The 15,049-nt window shown below is 39.7% G+C and overlaps 1 protein-coding gene across 1 annotated transcript in view; it reads left to right on the top strand.

The window, feature by feature from the left end:
• The first annotated feature begins 1,348 nt into the window (after positions 1-1,348).
• The window catches only part of CNTNAP3B (contactin associated protein family member 3B), a 238,891-nt gene continuing 225,190 nt past the window's right edge, over positions 1,349-15,049 (top strand). The window contains exon 1 of the mRNA NM_001201380.3: positions 1,349-1,765. Coding sequence (NP_001188309.2) covers positions 1,681-1,765 — 85 coding nt within the window. The 5' untranslated portion in view covers positions 1,349-1,680. The remainder of the gene's footprint in view (positions 1,766-15,049) is intronic.

Here is a 15,049-nt window from a genome sequence, read left to right as displayed (position 1 = left end):
AGACGGGGTTTCACCATGTTGGCCAGGATGGGCTCCATCTCCTGACCTCTTGGCCTCCTCAGCCTCCCAAAGTGCTGAGATTACAGGCATGAGCCGCCGCACCTGGCCAAGTTCACATTTTTAAAGACTCCATCTGATGCCTGACAAATTGGTATAATAATAGATTGACATTTGTTGTTTTACTCTAGGTCCAATTTAGAAAATGATTTCCATTTTCTCTCTTTCTGTCTCACTGAAGGCAACTGATCTGTCAATCAAAACTTTAGATTTATAATTTTTTCTGTAATAAAAGACGTGCTATTTACAGAGTTCTTGTGCAAAAGTAGTTTAAGTGAACCCAATTAATAATTCAAGAATGACTTTGTAAGTTTCTTCCTCTATTACATCTGAATTCATTTTACATTTTACATCTATTACATTTGAATTCATTTTAATGAAAAAGCCTTTCAAAGTTGTCTTTCCAAAGGGAAGATTAATACACTATTTCTTAGAGATACCATCTAAAAAAGTTAGTATCTTTCTTTCTTTTTTCTTTTTTGGAAACTCGCGGTGGTGGTAATGTGAGTGAGTTTGTCAATCTTTGCCCCTACTGTGAATTTGAGAAGCAGAGGAAGAGAAAAAGAGAAAGACCCCCCCGCCCCCTGCCTCCCACCTCCCGCCTCCGCCCCTCCCTCTAGCACACAGCAGGTGCGCAAGGAGTGCAGTGTTAGCTGCTGCTGGACTGAGCTCCTCATCCTACACTTGCAGGGGTTGCTCTTTTGGACAGAAAGCTGGAATAAAATGTAAATTTTAGACTTCCACCAAGGCCAGGACTAGGGTGAAGGGACTAACGCACTAGTCTCAGGAGCAACTGTTAAGTAACGCTAATCCTGAATGAATGAAATAGTTTTAAAATTGAATGTAATCGCAAAGAAAAAAAACCCATGATAGACAAAATATTAAAACTTTAAATAAAGGCTTGCACTTGCAGAACCCAGGCTCACCGGCCTCTCCCTGCTCCTGGCCCGGTTTCCCAGCTTGGTTCTCTACAAGTCAGAATTCCTAGCAAAATCAAAGTGTGCGCGCGTCTGCCCGAGTACACGCCGCAGAGTTATTTCTGCCCCATCTTCCCTATTTGAACTCAAACAGGACAGCATTTTCCTGGGTGCAGCCCCTGCGTTGGGTGAACAGCGCAGTGATAAAGCCTGGCGTTCTCCACCTGCAGGCGGAGGCTGACGGCGCGGTCTTTGGCGCGAGTCCGTGCACCGCGGCCGCCCCGCCCCGGTGGGAGAGAGGGACGGAGGAAGCTGCCGGTATAACGGGAGGAGAGCGCCAGGCGGAGCTGGGGCGTCCCTCCCGCTCGCTTCTTGACTCGCGTTGGTGCCGGCCGCCTCCCGCGCCTAGTGTCCGGGACGCGCCTGAACCTGCCGCCTCCGTGCCTGGGGCGGCGCCGCGCGGCCCCCAGGCTCCCGCGGGGCCGACCTCGGAGACGCAGCTGGGGCCGGGCGCGGCTTGGCGGGAGGGTCTGCAGCGCCGAGGGAGGCTGCCAGTGCGTGAGGAAGAGAGCTAGAGACTGGACAGGGGAGACAGAGCAGCGTCGGAGCCGCGCAGGGGACGGGAGTGAGAGCGGGAGTGAGAGCAGGAACGACGCAGAGCGGCCGTCGCCGTGCCCGGGTCTCAGGGCGCCTGGCTGAAGTGAGCATGGCTTCAGTGGCCTGGGCCGTCCTCAAGGTGCTGCTGCTTCTCCCCACTCAGACTTGGAGCCCCGTAGGAGCAGGAAATCCACGTAAGTACAGCAAATGGTTTAAAACTTGCGCTAGGCTGTCTGGAAAACTTTGTATTTTTTTATTATCGGTAATATTTGGAAGTGGAATTGCAGAACATGCTCCTGAACATGAAGAACCTTAAAAAAATATTTGGAATTGCAACCCGAAAAAGACGATTTTGTTTACAATAGACTTTCCTCTTGTGGGGGAGTCTAAGATATACCATGCATGTTTTGACTTTTTAATCGATGTTCTTGAATATTCATTGAGAAAGTGGCCGTTTCTGTAAAACCTGAAAAGAGCATCTTAATAAGAGATTAGCCTGCAAATGCTGTCATTTATTCCTTTTTAGGATTGTAATATTTTGTAGGAATTAAGTCTAACAGGGAAAAAACTGGCAGACATTACATCATACTGCATCAACTTAGATGTTAGCAGCTTACAGTTTTGCCGACCTTGGCAGCTTCAGAGTTAAAATGCTAATTAACTTCCACGCAGTATAGGGACAGAGTGCCTGTAGGCGAAACTAAATTAATAACCTGCCCTAACTACTAAGGGAATAACACTTGAACACCCCTGTCAGGGGCTTCGTTTCTCAGTAGAAAGTTCTTGGTTAAAGACAAAACTCAGCCAGTCATTTAGGTGATCTTGAAAATGATTCCTCTCTGGATGCTAATATTTTACATTATTTAATTTGCCATCGGGTTCCCTGTTTTTTATTTTACTTAATTTGGTAAACACCTAGGAAGCTTTTATTTCTAGAATGGGCTATGATTCTAATATAATGATGATATTCCAGACAGATGAGCAAAACATAATGTACCCATATTTTATCACACATAAAAATGTTTACACAACATTGCACATTTTTTTTTCGGCTTGGAGTAAATCTCTATCAGAGAGTCGTCTTTCTTTCTTGATTAATGAAACCATGAGATTAGAATTTTTAAAATGTCTTCCTCCTCCTTCTCAAATCACTTTTATTTTTCTTTCAGTGGCATCTCCCTGCTGTCAGCCTCAGCCCTCTCCTACCAAAATCTCTTTCGAAATAAGTTCCAATAAATGCTAGTGGCCATGTTTGGAAATTTAGATTATTGCAGGATAACCAAGGGTAGCTTTCAGCAGTTTTCCTAAGCTGTCATGAAAAGTTTGCCGTAGCTCAGTGCTGTTCTGCCTGTGGGCTCAAGGGTGGGTTGTTTCTTCACACACAGGGCACGCACATGGGTTCATGCACTCACTGTGCATCATGATTCAGTTGTGCCTCAGTTAATCCTACACTTGGTGTGCCCTTCGAAAAAACAAGCTCCGGATTGCTTTGGTCAGATGCTGTACCGTGTTTCAGATTCAACTTTAATCTGCTTTTGTGAGAGGGCTTTGTGAATAAAACGTTGTTACTTAAATTAAAATCCTTGGGTCTTGTAATGGAAACTGCCGTTTGGCTTAAATAAACACATAAATGAGTTACTTATAGAAAGGCATGCTAGAGTAATTGACCAATCAACTGGCAAAATACAACAAAATAAGTCACTAGAGGTCACTCTTACTATTGAATAAACAGGGCTTCAAAAAGACCTTCCTGGAGAAAAATGAAATCTGAGATCCTGCCACCACCTTTCCTGTTTTTGTTGCATAGTTGTGATTACTTTTTATTCTCAGGATTAGTTGTATTGATAGTTATTTTGCTTGGAATCCAGTGGAAGGATTACAAAGCCCATAGAAATTAAGCTCTTCTCATTTACAGTGAACATTCTTTTTGGAGGAGGGGAGGGCAGGGACAGATATTCCAAACGGACTCAGCACCAGACGGGACTCTCGCGAGTTGCTGAGTGACACGTAAAATTTCAATACTACTACTGTGGGTGTTTTCAGTCTTCTTTCGTTGATGAAACTTAGTATCCTCATATCTAATAAATTTTACTAATTTTAAATTACCTTTTAGATCAAGTAATTCTTCCAGATAAAACTATGTAACTATAATAATTATACCACCTTCAATACCAAGAAGAAAGTCAATAAGGACATCTAAAAGTTTCCTTCTCATGAAGACACCATGAGTTGCTCACGTTATTCACAGCTGGTTTTCCAGAAGCACATTGGCCACCCACGAAGGCAGCCTGTTGATGATGGCATGAAATGGCTCTTCATGGGAAGAGCTCTCTAGGCCGGGCACAGTGGCTCGTGTCTGTAATCCCAGCACTTTGGGAGGCCGAGGTGGGTGGATCACCTGAGGTCAGGAGTTCGAGACCAGCTTGGCCACCATGGTGAAACCCTGTCTCTACTAAAAATACAAAAATTAGCCGGGCGTGGTGGCAGGCATCTGTAATTCCAGCTACTCGGGAGGCTGAGGCAGGAGAATCGCTTGAACCTGGGAGGTGGAGGTTGCAGTGAGCCGAGATCCCACCATAGCACTCCAGCCTGGGCAACAAGAGCAAAACGCAAAACTCCGTCTCAAAAAAAAAAAAGCTCTCTAAACATTTGGCATTTTGGGGATTATGTGCAGTTTATCTGAATGTTATTTGACCTGACAAATACATGGGAAAGCTTTGTTAGGAAGATTCTGCATGAAGGGAAATATTTTCGTAACTTCAGTGCCCATAGACTTGCACTGAGTGAAAGGTCACTTACTGCTCTCATTGAGTCCCTGAAAACAACAGGAAGCATCAAGAGAAAGATTGAACTCTGGGCACTGATCCCAGGGATACACAAACAAATGGCTGGGCAGATTTTGCAGAAATTCCTGTAATTGGTAAAATGCTGAGTAATAGCCTTTGATGTAACTTTTCAGTGGGTTAATTTATTCATTACTTAGCCTAAAACACTTTTAATTTTAATTGCCTCAATTTTTTCCCCTAAATGGTTATGTTTTGCAAGTTCGCCAGCCAGCCTGGGGAAAGAAGGGTAAGCCTACTATAGAGTGTGTGTGGGTTAGTTAGGAAACTCACTTAGATGTGAAATGTGTCAGGAAAGAGATCTCACAGAGTGTAGGAATAATTATTTTTACAGATGTTTCATTTTGGACCTTTTAGTAATACCATTTTAAGAGAGATTCTGCAGATGAGTAACAGACTCTTAATTTTAGTGTCAAATGGTACTCTATAAAAAATGGAGTTCAGGCTGGGCACGGTGGCTCACAGCTGTAATCTCAGCACTTTGGGAGGCTGAGGCGGGTGGATCACTTGAGGTCGGGAGTTCGAAACCAGCCTGGACAACACGGTGAAACCCTGCCTCTACTAAAAATATGAAAAAATTTCAGGGCATGGTGGCAGGTGCCTGTGAGGAGGCAGTGAGCTGAGATCGTGCCACTGCACTCCAGCCTGGGTGACGGAGTGAGACTCTGTCTCAAAAAAAAACAAAAAAAAAAAAACAAAAAATGTAGTTCACATGCCTTTATTCATTTTCACCAAACTCTATACAAACAGTACGGAGCTGAAGTAGCCCATGGAAATGATAATCAATTCCAAGACATTGGTTTGATCATGAAAAAAGAAAAATCAAATTACTTGGCATTCTTCTTCCTCTTCCTTTCCCCTTCTCTTTTTGAACAATTCAGTCCAAGGTCATTCAGTTCAGCTTAGGCATCCATGCTGGGTAGTGGGGAGGCCCAGGACCATGGCAGAGCATTCAGAAACCAGCAGGGTAAGGAAAGCATCCACAGTATAGCAAGGGTGGGGACCTGGAGAGACAGGAGACAGCACTGGTGGTGACCTATAGCAAGTTGTCAGAGGTTGAGTGGAGTGAGGAAGGAGGCATTCCAGATTGACAGAGGCTAAGAAAACAAGGCAACTAAATACTATTCTGCATTAAATGCTTATGTTATAAAGGACATGATTGGGAATTGGTGAAACTTGAACAAGATTGGGGATTAAATATTGGAACTTTATCCATGATGACTGTGATGATCATATTATGGTTATATAGGAGAACATCTTTGTTGTAGGAAATGTACATTGAAGTATTCAGGGGTGATACAGCATATTAGCATAGTTCTTCCATGTTTTCTGTAAATTGGTTTCAAAATCAAATGGTTACTTTAAAAAACCATTCAAAATTGTGTTTAAAGGAAACATGGACCAATAGAAAAACTCAGAATAAGTAAGTGTAGTTAAATTGATGCATTTTACCTAAGAGATGTAGATTAAAAATAAAGAGGCTGAAAAAAAAACAATTATGAGAAATAACAGTTCATTTATATATGTCTCTAAATCAAATTAGCCTGGATTTCTGAATGACAAAGATGTAATTGGCACTGGGATTGTTCTCCATTCTTTTTGGGAAGTTTATTGCCTAGGACATCTGTATCAGTCTTCGAAGTACTTTTTAAAGCTTGAATATCTGAATGAACCCGTCAGACTGACTGTTATCTGGTCTTCTGTAATGGGCTTCCGCACCTTTGACGAGACTCTTAGCTGAAAGGTTGCTTGTCCCTAGGCCCGGTTGCTCCACGTTGTAAGAGCATTTGCAAACGCTTGGTTGTACATGACTGTGCACATGTCAAGTCTGCTCTGTCACTGTAGAAAAAATATTCCTTTTCCACTTGACATATAAGGCATGGAATTGTTTGTTTTAAATGTATTTTGTCAAGGAATTCATATATCTGCTTGATGTGTTGTGGTACTGTATAAAAGACAAGTGTGAAATTCATTGCTTACTATGATAGCCTTAACAGGACTACAGTAAATCTAGTTTTCTAAAAAATGGAGTATATGCTTAGCTTGGTTAAAATTTTATAATGAAATGACTACTCTGGTAATAAAAATTAAAAAATATCATAAAGTGGGGGCTAAAAAATGATACTGCATGTGTTCCAGTTAATGAACATTTTTGTTGTAATAATACGAAGAGTGATTGAAATCTAAAAACATTTGAGATTTTAAAATAGTTTTAACCTTATAACTACAGGATTGTGATTTAAGTAGCATGCCTACTTAATTAGGCAGCAATTAAAATTATTGCTAAGAATTAAATTACCAAGAAGACGTGGTCTAGTATGTATTGCCTGGGCTGTGGTTTGAATTACTTTTGATTAAGTATAATCACATTTTTTGAGAGTATAAAAACAGAGGATATTACTTGCTTCTAATTCACAGATGTGTTTATGAACCATTGGCAATTAAAGCATTTGCAATTGAGGCCCTAAGAAAATTTTAGGTTAAAATAACATGTTGAGTTATGCCTTATAACTCAGTATATGCTTATACTTTATATGCTTTACGGAGTTTTGAATATATAATATATATGTATAATAGTATATTTTTCCAGGAAATATATAACTTGTAGTTCCTTAACTTATTTTGTAACTAAATCCCGTGGAAAAAAGTTTATTGAATGTCATTGCTTCTCAGGCAAATGTAGAGTTAGGAAAATGATATATATACATATTGGGAATCTTTTAGAAGGCTTGGACTTGGTAGCTCAAATCTTCTGCAACCTTGAGCTTCAACTTTCTGGCCGGTTCAAGAGATCTCTTCACTGTCCTTTTCATGTAAAGTCAATGTTTATGGAACACTAGACCAAAATGGAAGGATTCCTTTGGAAACTGAACAAACAGTTGAATTAGTCTTTGACTTGATGGAGTGATTTGATCTAAAATATTACCTATCAGTTTTAGATATCTGTTCAATCAGAGCTGCCTCCATATATGCAAATGATAATTTGTCTTGGATTTTTAGATATCTTAGCCCTCAGACAAGCTAATAGAGTTTAAATTGAACCTGGTGTTTTAGGGACAGTTGAATTGTTGGGTTGCCCAGGAAAACAGTCACATTTTTCTATAAGTATGTGTTTATTTGGCTGGAATGTGGGTGAGGAAGAAGTTATATGTGAATTAAAAGAAACATTGTCTCAATGTCACATGTTAAATTAAATTAAATTACAGGCAGAACTAAGCGAGTTTACGATTGCTGCCGCTGGGAGCAGAGATTATTTTCAGCTTACATTTATAACAGAAGGAGGGATTTAAAATATAGTATTATGCCTACCCTGATACAGCTAACCTCCTCCACCCGCCCCTCCACACACATACAGCTACATGCTTACCCTCGAACTATGAAAGAAGGGTGTCTCTCAGACATCCTATATTTAACCCAGCTTTGGACAGGTCCCTGGAGTCTAGTCTTTTTGAACACAGCAGTGAAGATAAGGAATGGGGAGGGGGCTTTGATTTCAAGACCACTAGATATAGTAGATTCCTAATTTAATTTCAAAGACAAATCAATTATTAACACAAATACAAAGAGAACAGTATTTTAAGCAAAGCTTCTGTTGTGGCAGATAACCTTTTAAGGTGTCTCCCAGTTGGGTTTCTATTTTAGATGACTTTTTGAAGAATATATCTCTGTAATAGAAATATGTTTGATGATTCTCATCTTTAAGAACTGCACATTTGCCATAATTAAGATATTTATGAATTTATTGTAAGAAGATTGGTAGAAAAAGTAATGCAACATCAAATGGGAAAATAAATATATAATATTATATAGCTGTTCAAATATAGGGTTTATGATTCTTGTGCTAATTTGAACTGCTGTACAACACCAGGATAAAAGTCCACAGCTGTGTTAAGAAAGCTCTCATAAGCTTATGAAATTTTATAGCACAGGCTGTCACAGAACCTACAATTTACAAACATTTGTAAAAGTTAGGAAAGTTTTGGGTTCCTCAATAGAAAATGATGTTGCTTAGCTTTAAGAAAGTAACTAATTTATCTCTTTTCATTCTTGTCCACTAACAAAGGAACCCAAATGGTCTTTTAAAATTATAATAAAACTAAGCTAGTAAAATATCACATAGATTTTGAGATACTGTGAATAACCATAGAAAATAACAATTTGTTATTCTTCATATATAAAAATAAGCTTAACACGCTTATCAATACATCTTGAACTATAAGAGATTTATTTCAGCAGTGTTGCCAAAGGGCAAGCAAAGCCTGCTGCCCATAGAAAACTTTGAATTCCCTAAGCTCAGGGCTCCTCACTTGTCATGTAACCCACTGCGTGTGCACACATCCATCTGTGCCCATCCATATTCCCCCAGAGGACTTGGAGGCAAGGAAATTGATGCAAATATGCTGATGCTCATACTGTTTGCTATGCTGTAAGTAATACAGTCCTTTGCTTTGACCCAGGAGTCTTCTGCCGCAACCATGAAACAAACTGGCAGACTCATTTGTTAGCTTGCAAGTAGGTTAAAATCTCTCCTCACGGTTCTTCACAGTGTACTTGTCTGTGCAATGGTCATCTTCTTCATGAATATAATTATAACATGATATAAGAAATAGTGAGCTCTTACCTATAGATAAGCAAACATTGCAATATAAAAATAGCATATGTCATTTCATAAATCACAGTTGACACATTCTAGAGAAGAGATTGGGCAGCTTTCCTTTTTTGGATGTCACAGTTGATTCTACTGTCCTCATTTCTTCTTTTTTCTGGGATATGAGGAAGAATTGCTGTGACAAAGCTCATCTCCTGGGTGGCCGGGGTTGATTGTCAATTTGTTTTGTTTTGGCAGGCTAGGCAGATGTCCTCTACCTCCTTCTTTATGCCATGTGACATTCATCCCTTTGATTTTCCTATTGCATTTTATTTAGTATTTTAGAATACTGCCCACATTCCATTCTGGAAAGTCCACTGTCCCAGCCAGAGTTTTCTTAGAAAGCTGAGCCTGTGATGGGCGTTTGTGCAGGTAGCCTCTTTTAGAAAGTGAGCTCATAAAAGAGGGAAGAATGGAATAGAGAAGAAAAATCCACCAAAAGGGGGTGTCATTGAGCTGGTCACTTCTGTGAGCAACTGGGGCGTGAACTCCCTGGGAAGCTCTCAGGAAGCCGGTAGAATGTGTTTCACAGCTGTGCCTCTGAGAGACAGCAGGGGGAATGCATTTATCCTGAGTCCTGTCCAGGGATTCAGCACTGCCCTTGGGGTGCTAACTCCTGGCTCTAAGGAGAGGAATATGAACGAATGGGTTGCGACTGGGTTTCTGCAGGCATCGCAGAGGCCAAGAGACAAAGAGAGAACTCGAACACTGAACTTTTTAATTTTTTATTATTTTATTATTATTATACTTTAAGTTACAGGGTACATGTGCACAACGTGCAGGTTTGTTGCATATGTATACATGTGCCATGTTGGTGTGCTGCACCCATTAACTTGTCATTTACATTAGGTATATCTCCTAATGCTATCCCTCCCCCCTCCCCCCACCCCGCGACAGTCCCCGTTGTGTAGTGTTCCCCTTCCTGTGTCCATGTGTTCTCGCTGTTCAGTTCCCACCTATGAGTGAGAACATGCGGTGTTTGGTTTTTTGTCCTTGCAATAGTTTGCTGAGAATGATGGTTTCCAGCTTCACCCATGTCCCTACAAAGGACATGAACTCATCATTTTTTATGGCTGCATAGTATTCCATGGTGTATATGTGCCACATTTTCTTAATCCAGTCTATCATTGATTGACATTTGGGTTGGTTCCAAGTCTTGCTATTGTGAATAGTCCCGCAATAAACATACGTGTGCATGTGTCTTTATAGCAGCATGATTTATAATCCTTTGGGTATATACCCAGTAATGGGATGGCTGGGTCAAATGGTATTTCTAGTTCTAGATCCCTGAGGAATTGCCACACTGACTTCCACAATGGTTGAACTAGTTTACAGTCCCACCAACAGTGTAAAAGTGTTCCTATTTCTCCACATCCTCTCCAGCACCTGTTGTTTCCTGACTTTTTAATGATCGTCATTCTAACTGGGGTGAGATGGTATCTCATTGTGGTTTTTGATTTGCATTTGATTGCCAGTGGTGATGAGCATTTTTTCGTGTGTTTTTTGGCTGCATAAATGTCTTCTTTAGAGAAGTGTCTGTTCATATCCTTTGCTCACTTTTTGATGGGATTGTTGTTTTTTCTCTTGTAAATTTGTTTGAGTTCATTGTAGATTCTGGATATTAGCCCTTTGTCAGATGAGTAGGTTGCAAAAATTTCCTTCCATTCTGTAGGTTGCCTGTTCACTCTGATGGTAGTTTCTTTTGCTCTGTAGAAGCTCTTTAGTTTAATTAGATCCCATTTGTCAATTTTGGCTTTTGTTGCCATTGCTTTTGGTGTTTTAGACATGAAGTCCTTGCCCATGACTGTGTCCTGAATGGTATTGCCTAGGTTTTCTTCTAGGGTTTTTATGGTTTTAGGTCTAACATTTAAGTCTTTAATCCATCTTGAATTAATTTTTGTATAAGGTGTAAGGAAGGGATCCAGTTTCAGCTTTCTACTTATGGCTAGCCAGTTTTCCCAGCACCATTTATTAAATAGGGAATCCTTTCCCCATTGCTTATTTTTGTCAGGTTTCTCAAAGATCAGATAGTTGTAGATATGTGGCATTATTTCTGAGGGCTCTGTTCTGTTTTTCTATATCTCTGTTTTGGTACCAGTGCCATGCTGTTTTGGTTACTGTAGCCTTGTAGTATAGTTTGAAGTCAGGTAGTGTGATGCCTCCAGCTTTGTTCTTTTGGCTTAGGATTGACTTGGCAATGCGGGCTCTTTTTTGGTTCCATATGAACTTTAAAGTAGTTTTTTCCAATTCTGTGAAGAAAGTCATTGGTAGCTTGATGGGGATGGCATTGAATCTATAAATTACCTTGGGCAGTATGGCCATTTTCATGATACTGATTCTTCCTACCCATGAGCATGGAATGTTCTTCCATTTGTTTGTATCCTCTTTTATTTCATTGAGCAGTGGTTTGTAGTTCTCCTTGAAGAGTTCCTTCACATCCCTTGTAAGTTGGATTCCTAGGTATTTTATCCTCTTTGAAGCAATTGTGAATGGGAGTTCACTCATGATTTGGCTCTCTGTTTGTCTGTTATTGGTGTATAAGAATGCTTGTGATTTTTGCACATTGATTTTGTATCAAATCAAGATACAAAATCTTGATTTTGTATCAAATCAAGATACAAAATCTTGATTTTGTATCAAATCAAGATACAAAATCTTGATTTTGTATCAAATCAAGATACAAAATCTTGATTTTGTATCAAATCAAGATACAAAATCTTGATTTTGTATCAAATCAAGATACAAAATCTTGATTTTGTATCAAATCAAGATACAAAATCTTGATTTTGTATCAAATCAAGATACAAAATCTTGATTTTGTATCAAATCAAGATACAAAATCTTGATTTTGTATCAAATCAAGATACAAAATCTTGATTTTGAGACTTTGCTGAAGTTGCTTATCAGCTTAAGGAGATTTTGGGCTGAGACGATGGGGTTTTCTAAATACACAATCATGTCATCTGCAAACAGGGACAATTTGACTTCCTCTTTTCCTAATTGAATGCCCTTTATTTCCTTCTCCTGCCTGATTGCCCTGACCAGAACTTCCAACACTATGTTGAATAGGAGTGGTGAGAGAGGGCATCCTGTCTTGTGCCAGTTTTCAAAGGGAATGCTTCCAGTTTTTGTCCATTCAGTATGATATTGGCTGTGGGTTTGTCATAGATAGCTCTTATTATTTTGAGATAGGTGCCATCAATACCTAATTTGTTGAGAGTTTTTAGCATGAAGCGTCTTTGAATTTTGTCAAAGGCCTTTTCTGCATCTATTGAGATAATCATGAGGTTTTTGTCATTGGTTCTGTTTATATGCTGGATTACATTTATTGATTTTCGTATGTTGAACCAGCCTTGCGTCCCAGGGCTGAAGCCCGCTTGATCATGGTGGATAAGCTTTTTGATGTGTTGCTGTATTCAGTTTGCCAGTATTTTATTGAGGATTTTTGCATCAATGTTCATCAAGGATATTGGTCTAAAATTCTCTTTTTTGTTTGTGTCTCTGCCAGGCTTTGGTATCAGGATGATGCTGGCCTCATAAAATGAGTTAGGAAGGATTCCCTCTTTTTCTGTTGATTGGAATAGTTTCAGAAGGAATGGTACCAGTTCCTCCTTGTACCTCTGGTAGAATTGGGCTGTGAATCCATCTGGTCCTGGACTTTTTTTGGTTGTTAAGCTATTACTTATTGCCTCAATTTCAGAGCCTGTTATTGGTCTATTCAGAGATTCAACTTTTTCCTGGTTTAGTCTTGGGAGGATGTATGTGTCGAGGAATTTATCCATTTCTTCTAGATTTTCTAGTTTATTTGTGTAGAGGTGTTATAGTATTCTCTGATGGTAGTTTGTATTTCTGTGGGATCGGTGGTGATATCCCCTTTGTCATTTTTTATTGTTTCTATTTGATTCTTCTCTCTTTTCTTCTTTATTAGTCTTGCTAGTGGTCTATCAATTTTGTTGATCTTTCCAAAAAACCAGCTCTTGGATTCATTGATTTTTTGAAGGGTTTTTTTGTGTCTCTATTTCCTTCAGTTCTGCTCTGATCTTAGTTATTTCTTGCCTTCTGCTAGCTTTTGAATGTGTTTGCTCTTGCTTCTCTGGTTCTTTTAATTGTGATGTTAGGGTGTCAATTTTAGATCTTTCCTGCTTTCTTTTGTGGGCATTTAGTGCTATAAATTTCCCTCTCCACACTGCTTTAAATGTGTCCCAGAGATTCTGGTATGTTGTGTGTTTGTTCTCATTGGTTTCAAAGAACATCTTTATTTCTGCCTTCATTTTGTTATGTACCCAGTAGTCATTCAGGAGCAGGTTGTTCAGTTTCCATGTAGTCGAGCAGTTTTGAGTGAGTTTCTTAATCCTGAGTTCTAGTTTGATTGCACTGTGGTCTGAGAGACAGTTTGTTATAATTTCTGTTCTTTTACGTTTGCCGAGGAGTGCTTTACTTCCAACTATGTGGTCAATTTTGGAGTAAGTGTGATGTGGTGCTGAGAAGAATATATATTCTATTGATTTGGGGTGGAGAGTTCTGTAGATGTCTATTAGGTCTGCTTGGTGCAGAGCTGAGTTCAATTCCTGGATATCCTTTTTAACTTTCTGTCTTGTTGATCTGTCTAATGTTGACAGTGGTGTGTTAAAATCTCCCATTATTATTGTGTGGAAGTCTAAGTCTGTTTGTACACCTCTAAGGACTTGCTTTATGAGTCTGGGTGCTCCTGTACTGGGTGCATATATATTTAGGATATTTAACTCTTCTTGTTGAATTGATCCCTTTACAATTATGTAATGGCCTTCTTTGTCTCTTTTGATCTTTGTTGGTTTAAAGTCTGTTTTATCAGAGACTAGGATTCCAACCCCTGCTTTTTTTTTGTTTTCCCTTTGCTTGGCAGACCTTCCTCCATACCTTTATTTTGAGCCTATGTGTGTCTCTGCACGTGAGCAGGGTCTGCTGAATACAGCACACTGATGGGTCTTGACTCTTTATCCAATTTGCCACTCTGTGTCTTTTAATTGGAGGATTTAGCCTATTTACATTTAAGGTTAATATTGTTATGTGTGAATTTGATCCTGTCATTATGATGTTAACTGGTTATTTTGCTCATTAGTTGATGCAGTTTCTTCCTAGCCTTGATGGTCTTTACAATTTGGCATGTTTTTGCAGTGGCTGGTACTGGTTGTTCCTTTCCATGTTTAGTGCTTCCTTCAGGAGCTCTTGTAAGGCAGGCCTGGTGGTGACAGAATCTCTCAGCATTTGCTTGTCTGTAAAGGATTTTATTTCTCCTTCAGTTATGAAGCTTAGTTTGGCTGGATATGAAATTCTGGGTTGAAAATTCTTTTCTTTAAGAATGTTGAATATTGGCCCCCACTCTCTTCTGGCTTGTAGAGTTTCTGCCGAGAGATCCGCTGTTAGTCTGATGGGCTTCCCTTTGTGAGTAACCCGACCTTTCTCTCTGGCTGCCCTTAATATTTTTTCCTTCATTTCAAGTTTGGTGAATCTTTTCACAGTCACATATTTCTTGGAGGCTTTGTTCATTTCTTTTTACTCTTTTTTCTCTAAACTTCTTTTCTCGCTTCATTTCATTCATTTGATCCTCAATCACTGATACCCTTTCTTCCAGTTGATCGGATTGGCTACTGAAGCTTGTGCATGCGTCATGTAGTTCTAGTGCCATGGTTTTCAGCTCCATCTGGTCATTTAAGGTCTTCTCTACGCTGTTTATTCTAGTTAGCCATTCGTCTAATCCTTTTTCAAGGTTTTTAGCTTCTTTGCGACGGGTTCGAACATCCTCCTTTAGCTCGGAGAAGTTTGTTATTACCGATCATCTGAAACCTTCTTCTCTCAACTCGTCAAAGTCATTCTCCATCCAGCTTTGTTCCGTTGCTGGCGAGGCGTTGTGTTCCTTTGGAGGAGAAGAGGTGCTCTGATTTTTAGAATTTTCAGCTTTTCTGCTCTGGTTTCTCCCCATCTTTGTGGTTTTATGTACCTTTGGTCTT

This window comes from Homo sapiens, chromosome 9 (genome assembly GCF_000001405.40).
Source record: "Homo sapiens chromosome 9, GRCh38.p14 Primary Assembly".
Classification (NCBI taxonomy): Eukaryota; Metazoa; Chordata; class Mammalia; order Primates; family Hominidae; genus Homo; species Homo sapiens.
Note: the sequence above shows the minus strand (reverse complement) of the source record. Positions and strands in the feature narration are given on the sequence as shown.